This window comes from Homo sapiens, chromosome 3 (assembly GCF_000001405.40).
Source record: "Homo sapiens chromosome 3, GRCh38.p14 Primary Assembly".
Classification (NCBI taxonomy): Eukaryota; Metazoa; Chordata; class Mammalia; order Primates; family Hominidae; genus Homo; species Homo sapiens.
In genome coordinates, this window is record NC_000003.12 from 165,772,360 (window position 1) to 165,788,320 (window position 15,961).

Here is a 15,961-nt window from a genome sequence, read left to right on the forward strand (position 1 = left end):
ATATACACTCCTTTGTTTTGGAACTTAAAATACTCTGACTTCTCTCCTTTAGTAAACTACTCAGTGAATTTATTCAATGGCATGTGCTCCCTTGCCAAGCATGCTAATAAATGCAGCTCTGTAATTTTTTTAATTGCAAAAATAAGACAGTTTGTCTACAGAAAGTACAACCATTTCTCTTCTGGAATTGAACAATTTTCCTATTAATATGTTAATATTTCTGGGTCCAGGCAAGGGTTGCCCTGTCCCAGATGGTACACAACCTAACTTTAGACTTCTATGCACCCACTTTTTAAAAATTTTTGAATTACGGAAAGGTAATTCACATATGTACATGTTTGTGGTGATTTGAGGATAGAGGAGGTGAGGGAGAGCAAGAGTCAAATGAAGAATATAATTTGAAGGCATTACATAAATAATTACATTATTTTATATTTTGTTTCTTGGTAGCAGCATTCTGTTTCTATTATAAGGTGTTTTAAAGTGGCTGAGCCTCTCATTTTAAGATTCTTTCTTGCCTTTATATAAAAAACAAAGAGACCAATGATTTTCTGTGCTTATTTTAATATCTCATATTGACATTCAATTCTTATTTTAATTAGGAAACATAATATTGTAAACTATGGTGTACAGTGTTTCAATATTTAATTCATTTAAAAAAGATACCTTTTTACGAGTGGTAATGAAAATACACGTGACTAAAAGCAGAGCACTGATAATTTTGGGGGGAAAAACTTAAATTTATTAAGGAAAGAAAGAAATTGAACCAGGCCATTGTTTTAATATGCACATAATTAACTGTAGAACTTTATATTGTGAAATTTAATTAAACACGTTCTAGCCATTTGGGTTTTGAAATGCTAGGTAAAATACTAAGTTAAAGATGTGAGGAATCAATATTATCCTTCTGGCATTTTTGTTTCAGCTACATAATAACTTTTTTAGTAGGTGTGTAAAAAAGCTCCTGATATTTTTGCCTTGATCTAAAGGAAAATATGTTCTATAAAGGGTAAATCTATTAATTAGAGACCCACACAACTTTCTTTCTTGCTAGTGTAATCGTTAAATTGATTTTTCCAGTCCATCATGTAATTGTTCCAGCGATGGAATCCTGCTTTCCACTCCCATTCTGCTTCATCAATATTTCCTGTAAAATATGGAATAAGTTGTATTAATCAAAATTTTTATCTGTTTCATTAACTGAAAAATAATTTCGAATACAAAAGCCATTTTCTCTAACTACACAGTACAGCATTATTTTCTTTATTTATTCTTTATTATTTGTTATTAGCTCGCTTTGCCTGAAAAGAGATTTTAATAAAATCTTTACAGATTATGTGAAAATGCAAATAATGTATATATAATTTATATAACGTATAACATATAAAATGGAAAATGAGTTTATATATTGTATTATGTATAATTACATTACATATATTTTCTTTAGTTTTCAAGAGGATATGTAGATATTATGCTCTTTTCTTGACCCACTTTAAAATAACACAAATTTCATTTAATGGTCTCATTTACATATATAGTTATATAACAGATAATTATTTCTGATGAAAATTATATATGACTACAGTCATCCTTAGTATTTGTGGGGAGTTGGTTCTAGGACCTCTCAGGGATACCAAAATCCTCTCATACTCAAGTCCCTAATGTAAAATAGCATAACATTTTCACATAAGCCATGCACATCCCTAGATAATTCATACCTAATATAATGAAAGTGCTGTGTAAATGTTTATTATATTATATTGTTTAAGGAATAATGATAAGAAAAAAAGGTCTGTATATGTTTAGTATAGATGTATTTATTTATCAAATGTTTTTGACTCGTGGTTGGTTAAATCCATGGATGTGTAACCCGCAAATACAAAGGTCATACTGTATTTATTAATGCATAAGGATAACTTTTTAATTATCATTCCACATAGATTTTACCCTTATTATAATACAATGTTTTATTTTATTTATTTATTTTTTTTTGAGACAGAGTTCACTCTTGCCACCCAGGCTGGAGTGCAATGGCGCCATCTTGGCTCACCGCAACCTCTGCCTCCTGGGTTCAAGAGATTCTCCCTCCTCAGACTCCCGAGTAGCTGGGATTACAGGCGCGTGCACCACCATGTTTGGCTAATTTTTGTACTTTTGGTAGAGATGGGGTTTCACCATGTTGGTTGGCCAGGCTGGTCTCGACCTCCTGACCTCAGGTGATCCACCTGCCTCAGCCTCCCAAAGTGCTGGGAATAGTCATGAACCACCATCCCTGGCCAATACATTTTAATGGGAAACAACATTAAGTCATTGTTTCAGCCACTTACCTTGAAAGCAGTTTATTAATTGTGTTGTAAAATAGAAAGATGATTCAGATAATTCCTGCTTTCAAGTAGTTTGCAAAGTATATGCATGTGTTAGGAGAAAGGGGTGTGTAGGTAGGAATAGCGTGAGGCAGTGAACCACTAATGGTCTATATACTTCAAGAACTTTGAAATTCTGATTTATTTGGAAGTGTATTGTTAAAAAATACAGATTGTGAACAGTAAAAACTATTAAATTACAATGTTTTAAGACACATATTTTTGTTCCTGGTATAAAGGCATAATAAGCAATATATATAACTGTGGTTTTCTTTTTAAACTTTTAGAATGCTAAGCTACAGTCATTAAACTAACAAAAAATTTTAAGTAATTTCATGTATACTGAAAATAGGGGCTGGCAACTCTTTTAATATATACTTTTCAGTTAGAAATCTTTGAAATTAATTAAACTTTGTAAGATATTACTTTGGAGGAGAAAATTTAGTGACTAATTTTAAGCTAGTACAAAAATAAAAATATTTAAACCTTTTTGCAGACATTACAATATCCCTTGTAATTTAGGATATATTTAGGTTTGAAATGTTCACAATGCTTGGACATTGGAAAAATATTTGAAAGTTTACATAAAGTGTTTCACTTTCATGTAAAAATGGCTTTTAAAAAGATCAGTCACTATAATCACAATTTTTTGGTGAATAATAGAACTTCTATAAAGGGTCAAAAAAGATTAGATGTGGAAGAAAGATGTTAAATATCATACCAAATTATCCATTTTTATGGTCTTTTAAAAAATAACAAAATGTTGTTTTAAATCTTACTTATATAAAATAAAAACTCTAAATTCCAGAAAAAATTTTTCTTGATAAATAAATTTTTGGTAATTTAAAATTTAGACCATGAATTTTAATCCTTATAGAAAGAGTCCTAGATCTGATTTTCCTTTTTTATTCATGGAATAATACCAAAATCACTGATTTACATAAATTTACATTTTTTCCTATGTGTCTTATCAAATGTCTATACAATTTAGTATTTTGAAATGCTTTTTAGTTCACAAATGCTCTATAAATCTAAATCTGCTTTAGAAATAGGGGGCATTGATTGAGACAATAAAATATGAAACATTTAATTATTTCCTAATGAAATCCAGAGAAAGTGAATACACCGTAATGAGTAAATAAAATATTGAGTTTGAAGTAAATCAAAATCAAAATTAAACGTTTTCCTCTTTCCTCTCCTTCTTTTCTTAGTCCGCCTCTCTTTCTTTGTCTTCTTATTTCATATTGGCTTGTTTATTACTAAGAAGACAAAATCTAGTCACAAGTCAATTTTCACATTATTATCAACATCAGCAATATTCATGATTAAAAACCATGTAACTTAAGTGGCTGGAACATCATAATAAAAAATTTAGGGCTGGCACATTATAAACAAGGATTAAACTTGATTAGCAAATTTTAACTTATTTAAAATTTGAGAGGATAAAGACCTTTATGGTAGGCAATGTATTTGCTTTACAATTGATTAATTAAAACATAATTATATTGTAGAACAGTCATAATGCTCAAACAATGTAAGTTTCTTAGAATTGTAACCTCAACCAAAATGCAGGCTTCTAACTCAATGTACTTATTGTGAAGGGGATCAATATATATTTTGTATGAATTCAGAGATACAAAGAAAGAATAATGCTGCCACCAATGTTTCTTTTCATGCCTCATGGTGTCTGAAAGTCCACAAATATAATGATAATAGCAATGTTGATTGTCATTCTCTAAGTGTAAATATTTTTTATGAGAAAGGGAAAAAATAATCAAATTCTGAATGAGAGAAGAAAAGGAAATGTGTAGAAAAGAGAAAAAGAAAGTGGAGGCTTGATACTAAATTCACAGGTCAAATATTGATGTGACGTTTTCTTTAAACAAGATAAAAATTAATTTTAGAAATAAAGAACCCTAACTTGTAGAAAGAGTTTTATTATTATTTTTTCTTCTTTATAGTGGTAACATTTTGTGTTTTGGACACTGTGAACATAATGGAAAGACTACCATAATATATTATGGTTTTAATTATATTTTATAAAGAAAAATGAATCGATTGACCTTTCCAGATTCTTATGTAGAGAGTAAATATAAAGTCCTCTTTATTCATACTACAATGATCATACTATATAATAATATGTATAAAAAGTGTCTTAATTCATAATATCAACAATAGGTCACATAGTATTTATCCATTGACCTCAGCTGATGGCATTTAAATAATACATGTAAAATACGGTAATATAGAGAAGTGAAGATAAAAGGACAAGGGCAAATATATAGCAGAAATGTAAATAAAAGAAAAAAATAGAGTTGGCAAATGTATAGCAGGCATGGTAAAAATCAAGGCCAAAAAATAAATGAGTAAATAAGTATATATTAATAGGATTTTAAATCCTCAATATTAATAAAGCTTACAATTCTCGTAACTATTTTTCAGAGAAATATCTTCATTCTTGTAGAATTTCATGCAACTTTATTATTTCTTAAATAAAAATAGAGCAGAAATAAATAAGGACATTGAGGACCTTATTCATATAACTATGTAGTAAGAATACAGTTGATTTAAAACATATGTAACCTTAGAGACAGATAATTTACTTTTTGCCAAAGAAAAATAATGTGTTAAAAATAATGTGTTACATTAGTTATCACCCCAATAAAGCTTATTAAATTTGTATTTAATAAATATATAAATATGTAAAATAGGGAACTGTATAATCTATGTTTACAAAATAAAAATTTATGTCAAGATTTCGAATGATCAAATAGACATATCAACTAAAAAGATTATCTAATACTTAAGATAGTTTGTGAATATTTATAACGTACACATATGTATAGAGATATTAAAAACAAGTTTCTCCAAAGCAAATCTCTGTGTGCAGGGGCAAAGCAAATTTGCAAGTACAAATGTTTAAAAGAAAAGGTAAAAAATATACACACAGTTGACCTTGAACAACATGAGTCTGAACTGCACAAGTCCACTTACATGTGGATTTTCTTCCACCTCTGTCAATCCAGAGACAGCGAGACCAACAGCTCCTTTTCCCCTCCTCCTACTCCTCAGCCTACTCAATGTGAAGATGACAAGTATGAAAACCTTTGTGATGATCAACTTCCACTCAATAAGTAGTAAATATATTTTCTCTCTTATGATTTTCATTTTCTTTACACTAGCTTACTTTATTATAATAATATAGCATATAATAAAAATATTATTCATAAAATATGTTAATCAAATGTTTACATTATTGGTAAGGTCCAGTCAAGTAGGCTTAATTAGTCAACTTAATCAGTAGTTAAATTTTGGGGGATTCAAGAGTTACAGGCAGATTTTCAACTGTGCAGGGGTTGGTGCCCCTAACCCCCAGATTGTTTTTCCAGAGTCAACTGTTTATGCAAACATAGATGATATTTCCAAATTTGCATTCAGAGGCAAATTTACTAGTAAATACTTTTACACTAAAACAAGAAAAAGCCAGTTTACAATAATTTTTAAAGCATAAATAAAATAAAATAAATATAAGAGAAGTGAATATATTCCTGATGCGAATGAACCAGCAAACAAAAGCAGCTATTTGGAAGAAAGACCCTACCTCAGAAATGAAATTATTATGTTGATGCCATATAATATTCTTACAATCTAGACTCTAAGAAGACAAAGGTAAAAAAGAATAACTCGTGAATATAGTAAAAGATTATACATTTATGAATCAATAACCAGAACATATCAGTTTCTCATTTAAAATTACTAAATGGCTTTACTCAGAATATAATTTAAATTCTTTAGCATGATGCACAAGACACTTCATCTCTGGTTCCTGCTTATCTGGCTTCTCTCCACTTTGCCTTCACATTGAGATTCAGTGCAGGTATCTTCTCTTCTTAAAAGCTTTCCATGGTCCTGGGCCCTGACTCCACTTCACTGTGAGTAAGCAGACCCTGTCATTTTCATCTGTGCAGCTCTAGCTGCTAGTGCAGTTCCTGGCTCACAGTAGCAGCATATAGGCTCTGTAAATGTTATCAAATTAGTTGACAAAAAAGACTTTTTAAAAGATAAATTATATTTCTATTAGGTATCTTGTTATACATCTGATAAGATGTCCAGAAAACATTCAGAAACTAGTTAACTGTCAACTACCTAGGAAAGATAACCCATTTAAAACCACCACAAATGTCTATTTATAATTTTTTTTCTCTTTCCATTTTTTATATTTTTGTGGGTAATTGCTATTAGGAATATTTCACATTAATTTTCATTAATAAACATTTTGCAAACCAGTCACCCTCCCCACCCACAAAATACTTATGTTGGCTTTAACAAAAATGTTAAGTGGTGTTTTGGAGAGGGGATTATACCAGCATTACTCATACTGATTGTAATTTTGACAACATATTAATCTCGTACTACGGATGCAAGTACATTTTCCACTCTGTAGGAAAAGAAACTGTTTGAAAATTCTGCAAGGGAAATGGCCTTCAATGAAATTCAACATCACCTCATGTTAAAAATTCTCAATAAACTAGGTATTGATGGAACATATCTCAAAATAATAAGAGCTATTTATGACAAACCCATAGCCAATATCATATTAAATGGGCAAAAGCTGGAAGCATTCCCTTTGAAAACCGGCACAAGACAAGGATGCCGTCTCTCACTCCTATTCAACATAGTATTGGGAGTTCTGGCCAGGGCAATCAGACAAGAGAAAGAAAGGGTATTCAAATAAAAAGAAAGGAAGTCAAGTTGTCTTTGTTCGTAGACAACATGATTCTATGTTTAGGAAACCCCATCGTCTTAGCCCAAAACCTCCTGAAGCTGATAAGCAAATTCAGCAGTCTCAGTGTACAAAATCAATGTGCAGAAATCACAAGCATTCCTATACACCAATAATAGACAAGCAGAGAGCCAAATCATGAATGAACTCCATTCACAATTGCTACAAAGAGAATAAACTATGTAGGAACACAGCTAACAAAGGATGTTAAAGACCTCTTCAAGGAGAACTACAAACCATTGCTCAATGAACTAAGAGTACATAAACAAATGGAAAAACATTTCATCCTCATGGATAGGAAGAATCAATATTGTGAAAATGGCCATACTGCCCAAATTAATTTATAGATTCAATGCTATTCCCATAAACTACTATTGACTTTCTTCACAGAATTAGAAAAATCTACTTTAAATTTAATATGTAACCAAAAAAGAGCCTGCATAGCAAAAACAATCTTAAGCAAAAAGAAGAAAGCTGTAGGTATCATGCTACCTGACTTCAAACTATACTACAAGGCTATAGTAACCAAAACAGCATGGTATTACTACCAAAAGAGACATATAGACCAATGACACAAAACAGAAATCTCAGAAATAACATCATACATCGACAACCATTTGTTCTTTGACAAACCTGAAAAATCAAGAATGGGGAAAAGATTCCCTATCTAATAAATGGTGCTGGGAAAACTGGTTAGCCATATGCAGAAAACTGAAACTGGACTCCTTCCTTACACTTTATACAAAGATTAACTCAAGATGGATTAAAGACTTGATGGTAAAACCTCAAAAAATAACAATTCTAGAAGAAAATCTAAGCAGTACCATTCAGGAACAAGGCATGGACAAAGACTTCATGACGAAAATGTCAAAAGCAATTGCAGCCAAAGCCAAAATTGACAAATAGGGTATAATTAAACTAAAGAGCTTTTGCACAGCAAAATAAACTATCATCAGAGTGAACAGGCAACCTACAGAATGAGAGAACATTTCTGCAATCTATCCATCTGACAAAGTTCTAATATCCAGAATCTACAAGGAATTTAAACAAATTTATAAGAGAAAAGCAAACAACCCCATCAAAAAGTGGGCACATAATACGAACAGACACTTCTCAAAAGAAGACATTTATGTGGCCAACAAATGTATGAAAAAAAGCTCAACATCACTGATCATTGGAGAAATAAAAATCAAAACCACAATGAGATACCATCTCACACCAGTCAGAAAGGCAATTATTATAAAGTCAAGAAACAATAGATGCTGGTGAGGCTGTGGAGAAATAGGAATCCTTTTACGCTATTGGTGGGAATATAAATTAGTTCAACCATTGTGGAAGACAGTGTGGCAATGCCTCAAGGATCTGGAACCAGAAATATCATTTGACCCAGCAATCCCATTACTGGGTGTATACCCAAAGGAATATAAATTATGCAACTATAAAAACCCATGCACAACTAGGTGCAGTGGCTCACACATTTAATCCCTGCACTTTGGGAGGCCGAGGTAGGTGGATCACCTGAGGTCAGGGGTTCGAGATCAGCCTGACCAACATGGAGAAACCCTGTCTATACTAAAAATACAAAATTAGCCAGGCGTGGTGGCATATGCTTGTAATCCCAGCTAATCCCAGCTACTCAGGAGGCTGAGGCAGGAACATCGCTTGAACCCAGGAAATGGAGGTTGTGGTGAGCCAAGATCACGTCATTGCACTCCAGCCTAGGCAACAAGAGTGAAACTTCACCTCAAAAAAATAAATAAATAAAGCCCATGCACATGTATGTTTATTGCAGCACTATTTACAACAGCAAAGACATGAAACCAACCCAAAAGCCTATCAGTGATAGACTGGATAAAGAAAATGTGGCACATATATACCATGGAATACTATGAAGTCATAAAAAAGTATGAGATAATGTCCTTTGCAGGGACATGGATGAAGATGGAAGCCACCATCATCAGCAAACTAACACAACTAACACAGGAACAGAAAACCGAATACTGCATGTTCTCACTCATAAGTGGGAGCTGAACAATGAGAACACATGGACACAGGGAGGGGAACAGTACACACTGGGGCCAGTCGGGGGTGGAGGGTGAGGGGAGGGAGAGCATTAGGACATATAGCTAGTGCATGCGGGGCTTAAAACCTAGATGACGTGTTGATAGGCTCAACAAGCCGCCATGACACACGTATACCTATGTAACAAACCTGCACGTTCTACACATGTATCGCAGCACTTAAAGTAAAATAAAAAAATAAAGAAAATTCTGCAAAAGACCAAATGGCTCAATATACATAAAACAGTTAAAATCTGGCAGATTATAAATTTTTATGTGGTATGAAAAATAATAAATAATAAAGTTTTTATTTTCTAAAAATAATTGCCTAATGGATGAATGATAAACACACACAGAAAATGTGAATTTGTATGATACAATATGCATAAGTAAATGTAACAACTCATATTGTTGACCTGAGTATTCCTTGGAAAAATGATAGTACTTTATACCTAGGCTAGCAATTTTAGTATAAATTTTCAAAGCATATTAATAGGACATAAATCTAATAAGAGGTTAGAGGCTCTCTACATAAACATGAATATATCACATATATATATTCACCTTGATACCTATGACCTATTAATTTGTTATATTTTTATTCTTCAGCTTTCTATGCCCAATTTTAAATCAATAATAATATCCTTTTTAACCAACTCAGTAATATGAATGATTTTAGTACTTTAAGATTATTTCAAATGTCACCAAGTCTTGTTGTGATTGTAAAACAGAGACAACTTGCTTTGTGTGTGGGTTTTGGGGAGATAGAAAAGATGGGAATCAATTTTTTGTTTAATGCCTCACAGGGTAAAGAGAAGGGAATAGTCGTGGAAGGCAATTTGTGAAACGGTAAATTTATAAACACATTGGCATAACTTTTTGAGTTCACTTCTTTGTGATCTTTGTTTTGCATGTATTGTCACATTTGGAAAAAAAATCGTTTTCTCTTCTATGAAAATAATAATGATAAGTTTTTTGTGTGTGGTTGTTGTTTTTTGTCTAGCCAAAAAGGACACTGAGTAAATTTTCACCAGAGCTAAGTCTATTTAACAAAGTCTAAGGAATTAGAAAATATTTTAGTCCATTCAGACTGCCATAACAAAACATCATACACTGGATAGCTTATATACAACAGCAATTTATTTTTCACAATTGAGGAGGCTTTCCAGCAGATTATACTTCCATCTAAGATCAAGCAACGTAGACTGTTGTCTGATGAGGACCTGCTTTCTGGTTCATAGATGGCAGTCTCATTGCTATGTTCTCACATGGAAGAATGGGGGAGTTCCCTCAGGATTTTTTTTTTAAAGCATTAATCCCTTTTAAACAGGCTTTTTCTCCATGAACTCATCACCTCCCGCAACGATTCACCTTCTAATACCAGCACCTTAGTGGTTAGGATGTCAACATATGAATTTTAGGGGGACACAAACATTCAGACCCTAGCAGAAGAGAATGCAAAGGTGAATTAACCCACAATTGCTAGTGGAGGTGAAGATAGGAGAGATTATACTGATATTTAATTAAGTCTGCCATCATAATTAAGAAACAACAACATTCTTCATGTATTTGAGTGTTCACTGAAAATCTGTCTCCATCACATTATTATTTTTCTGTTTTTGATCAGTTATTAAACTTATCATGGAATGCATATTTCTTTATGCAATAAATCTCAATCATTAATTGTTCTGTCGTAATTTTGAGCATGGGGTAAGAACATAGAGTGAACTAGTATAAACTTAGGCTAGGCTTTGTGAAGACTTCATGTAGTTTAAAGTGGAACAGTTAATTTAACTTGATTATTAAGTTATTCGAAGCCACTTGTTTATTTGTTTTGTTTTGCTTTTAATGAGGAATTGATAATTCAGGCATATTAAGACAATAAACTAGTTTCAACATTTTCTCCAAATCACCTTTGCACTCCCTCATCCTTGACTGCCAGTCTTGCTAACTGATTAGCAAATAGTAGTAAATGATTTTCAAAGTAACCAGTTCAAAGGGTATTTTGGCCCTTAAATTTACACGTGCTTTTTAGTGTTGGCAAGCATGATTTATTCAAAGGTCAATGGAGGAATTATTGGATCTAACTTTTTTTCTTCATTAGGATAATATGAAGGACTTCTGTTCTTTAAATAAATTTACTCTTCCACTTTTAGTGAAAAAATATTATTATCCTTGACAGTGGGTCATTTTTCTACTTCTTTTTCTTTTTTCAAATAGTTATGATATTGTAATATTGAATAGTTGTATCCTTGTGGAAATCTGAATTTGATAACATTTGAAATAAATATTGTGAATTTTATTTCTTGCAGGTGCATGCAATAACAGCATAGCCATGTGCTGAAGTATGGTCTGAAAGTTAAGTGTTAGAATTTGTGTGTTTAAACAAGTTTCAAGAATCATTTTATTTGAGAACATTTATTGCTCAAACGTAAACTATTGCTGAGGTGGTACTTACAAAGCTTATTGGGCTTCCATCTTGAGTAAGGTAAACATTTTTCCTTTTAAGAAAGCCAGCTAGTAGTTATTCTTTGAAATTTTTCTTTAGGTATAAAGTTGCTTTAAAAAAAATTCCAAAAACTTTAGCCCAGGTCATCTGACTAACGCATTCTCAAAACATTAAAGATTAAAATATTTGAAGTTTTGTGACTTGAAAAATATAAGATATGGCAAGAACATGGGCCCTTAATCTTTTTAATCTGTCCACACTATTTATTTATAAAACCTAAATCCTTGTAACTTCAAACTGATTTTGTTCAAATGTAACATTTTTATTACTAGTGAATACATGTTACAATAATTGTATCGTGCATTTACTTCAAAATTATAAAATATATCTAATATGAAAACCTTATTATGGGGGAATTAATTAGAAAAAATGGTATAATACAAAATTATATTTTCAAGACACACTGAACCTAACCTTAAGCATGGTCCTAGACCACAGCTAGGTAGGTATTTCCATAGAGCTCAGCGTTACACAAGCTAGGAATTTGTTCAACATTGTATGGGAAATAGCAGCAGCTGGCAAAAACTTTGGAGTTTGTTTATTTAATCTGCTTTCTGGCAGGTAAGTATTTGGAAATAGAAATTTGTGAAGGATAGTTTTTTAAAATGCTGATATTCAAATTTTATTGTATCATCGCATAAATTGCAATAGATCACACATGATTTAACCAGAAGGGCTCAGCTTGGCTTATAATAAATAAGTCACTTAAAATAACCCACTCATTATATCTCAAATTATAACCCTCTCATATAAAAATATTTTAAATAAAGATTAATAATATATAGTATGTGATATGATAAATGATAGTATCTCTTTGGGTCTCTTGGCATATTAATGAGTTACCTCATCGTTATTTACACCCGGAGGACAAAAGGATGGCACTGTTGCTCTGCCAAGAGAAGCAGAATCCCATCCCTGGTTATATATTATGTCACAGAACATTTGGTAATACACAGAGCACTGGTATATCAGAAACATTTCCCAAGCAGATGGAGTACATAATTATAATTTTTGTGAGTAATGTCTGATAATCAAAAGGCATATTAAGCAATCAAATACAGCTCTGAGATGCCCATATTTGCTGAAACTAGCCCACAACTTATCTAAACAAGAAATGGAAAACATCTACTGTATTATGATACCAAATATACAGCCTGAAAATTACAGATCGTCATGATGAGCAGAATAGCAAACTCTGAAGGACCTGACCAGCAATATGTCTGATGGCTGAAAATCAATTACTTTCAGAAAGTATACTTAAGGAACCACATGGATTATAAACAGCTGAAATTTTAAAATCTAGACAGTGAGTTGGATATATGTCATATTTGTCAGAGAAGATCAAACTAAGGTGACACATGTTTGATCACTCAAGTGGATTGAAATATTTTCTTAATAATGAATATTGAGATAATAATCTGAACAAATTTTCATCGTATTTCCTTACCCATTTCTCACCAATCACTTCCTTAAGACTAGTTAACTAAATAACTATTTGTTTATAATATGTAATATTATATCATATCATATTATGTAATGTGCGTGTGTGCTCTTAGATAAATATTTCCAAGTTCAGAATATTTAGAAATTTTTTATTGTGTTTTTAAATATGTAAACTTCGGAGTTTTTTTCTCCATTTAAATCAAGGTTCTATTATTTATCAATAAATCTGTTTTTACCAATTTATGCATCTTATTTTTTAGTTCCATACATTATGATTATTTGATATATTTATTTCTTTGTCCATTAATTAATTCCACAAAGATTATCTGAATAACAAGTAGGGCTCTATTTTAGTTTCCTTTTTCTATTTTATATTTCCACAGGGTGAAATCTATATTTTAGTTTTCTTTATTTAACTACTAAAGTACTGGTCATATAGTAAGAGTTCAAAACATATCTAAACTTGATAGAAGAAAGTCTTAAAAATAATGTGTTCATTAAACCAAGTTATTTTAAAGTCAGAGATACATATAGTAACTCCATCACCGTGCCTTGGAGAGTATACTTCATCCCTTTTTTACATAACCCATCATCTATTAAATAACCAAACACTAAAAACAGACACACCTGTCATTTCCAAGACTTTTGGAAAAAATGATGTCCAGAATCGACATTGTTGAGCACGTAGTTTCGTCATTATTCTTGTTGACTCTGTATTCAAGGTTAGATATTTTTGTTCAGTGCTTTTGAAGACAGGCCAGCTTGTGCTATTGTTCTGAGTCTCATTTGGATTCCTAAATAATAAAATAGAGACATTATAGTAAAATTGAAATCATTGTTAGATTAAAAAGAATATTGTTTTCTAACACTGTTCACAAGAGCTTTAAAGAATTTAAGACAGAAAAAATGTGGATATATATTGATGATATGAAACGTATGTGAACTGGGCTTAGTGGTTTGAGCACTGAGAACCACTATGTTATTTAAAATTGTAAGAATTGAAATTTAAAGTTGAATTTTTTATATGCATTTCTGCTTAACATATTGGAAGAAGAAATTTTTTATTTCAATAAAATATATCTTCATTCACACTTAAACGTGCTCAAAGGGTGGTGTTACTTTTGTTTCATTATCTTCCCTTATCCTAGGCCCAAAAATTTCACAATAAGGAATCATATCACTTACTCATCTTTTGCATCTATTTCATTCTATATACTCTTATTAATACTGCTTGAGTTTAAGACCAAGTTTAATTACAAATCTTATTATGTAATAATCTCATTACTCCAGGAAACTTCTTTCAGTCCCACTTTTAAGTTTAGCTAACATCTCATAGATCTGTTTACTAATTAAAAATCTTTCAATAATTCTTAAGTGGTTTCATATTAAGGTTAATGAACATGGTACCACCCACATTTCCAAATTTATTTTCAGATATTCTTTTTATACACCCAGCCAATAGGAGTTAGGGAATTAGATAGAGTTCCCCAGTAAATCCCTCCTTTTTTCATTTCTTCTCTTTGCTCTAGCTGTTACTTTTGCTTGGAATTCTTTTATTTTCCAATTTTATGTGTCTAAACTCATTCAAAACTTTCATATTATCTTTTTATGATATTTCCCATGCTTATAGTTGTTATTTGAAAATGAATAACTGTCGACTCTATCTTTTCAATATCTACAGTGTTGAGCTCATTTATACCTTTATAGCACTCAATAATATATTAATGCCAAGGTCACACAAACAGGAACTCAGAGATTTTTAAAAGTGGCTCTACACAGTCACTACATCTGTAGATTTCCTTATAATATATCTTTATGTTATTAGTATGAGTTAGACACAGATCTAGCCTCTAGAAATATAAATATGAAACACAAAGTTTTCCTCAGGGAATTTATAAGCAAGAAAACCCAGGGAAACAAAGAACTACAACATAAGATAGCATAAACCGAGTCTAAAAAAAGGGCCACAAATTGTTCAGAAGAAGGAGCAGTCATTACATGCTTGAAAGGAAATTACCTGATGGAATGGGAATCTGGCTGAAAGAGAGGAAATAAGGACCTGAGCTAGAAAGGAAAGTCGGGAAAGCTAGAAAAAGGGATAGAATTAACATAGACATTAATGATTAATCTACTTCTTAGTTCAAATAATGACGAAAAAACTAGTTTTGTTGAATTCTAGGATAGAAGGAGATACAATTGAATATATGGACTTAGGATATCAGTGTTGTCACATTAAGGTCTAACAGCCCTGGAAAATTGTTTGAAATCGAACTTGTAGGCATTTACTACTCTTGAGGAACTTTTGACTAAATGGCTAGTGTGAGCATAATATTTTAGAAATATTGATCTGAAGGTGGTATTTAGAATAATCAAGAAACTATAAAGTTTTTCAGCCTTTTCTAACATAAACAAAAGATTAAAGTGACAAAGATAAGTAATTCATTCCTTGCTCTTATTCTACCTTATGCTAAATCATATTAAGAAAAACTCTGGTTGAAATTTTCTAAAAGTTCAACACAAAAAATCCTTCATCATTCAGATACCTTCTGTATATTATTAATAGATAGAAATTTTGGAGTAGTATGAGCCGATCTAAGTTTGTTTTGTTTTGTTTTGTTTTGTTTGGCCAAAGTCTCTAAGTCCAGTAGAATTTGGAAGAAGTAAACATTCATCCAGTATGGTTATCAAGAGGCAGATTTTTGCCATCAAGAACTTATATTGAATATGCACCATAAATTCATATTTTATCATAGATGCAGACATGTTCAACCATGAATTCAGGAGCTTTAGAGACAAACAGTTT

General features: G+C 31.6%; 1 protein-coding gene across 3 annotated transcripts in view; it reads right to left on the reverse strand.

Annotated features, from left to right (window-relative positions):
- BCHE (butyrylcholinesterase) overlaps positions 545–15,961 on the reverse strand; it is a 64,520-nt gene continuing 49,103 nt past the window's right edge. For 2 of the 3 annotated variants that reach the window (NR_137635.2, NM_000055.4), the window contains 2 exons: positions 13,786–13,952; positions 545–1,147 (listed from right to left, as the gene is read on the reverse strand). Coding sequence is in view for 1 of the 3 variants with exons in the window: in NM_000055.4 (NP_000046.1) it covers positions 1,023–1,147; positions 13,786–13,952 (292 nt within the window). In the remaining 2 variants the exon portion in view is untranslated. Of the gene's footprint in view, positions 1,148–5,357; positions 5,437–13,785; positions 13,953–15,961 lie in introns of all 3 variants that reach the window. The other variant, NR_137636.2, reaches the window with a different exon arrangement.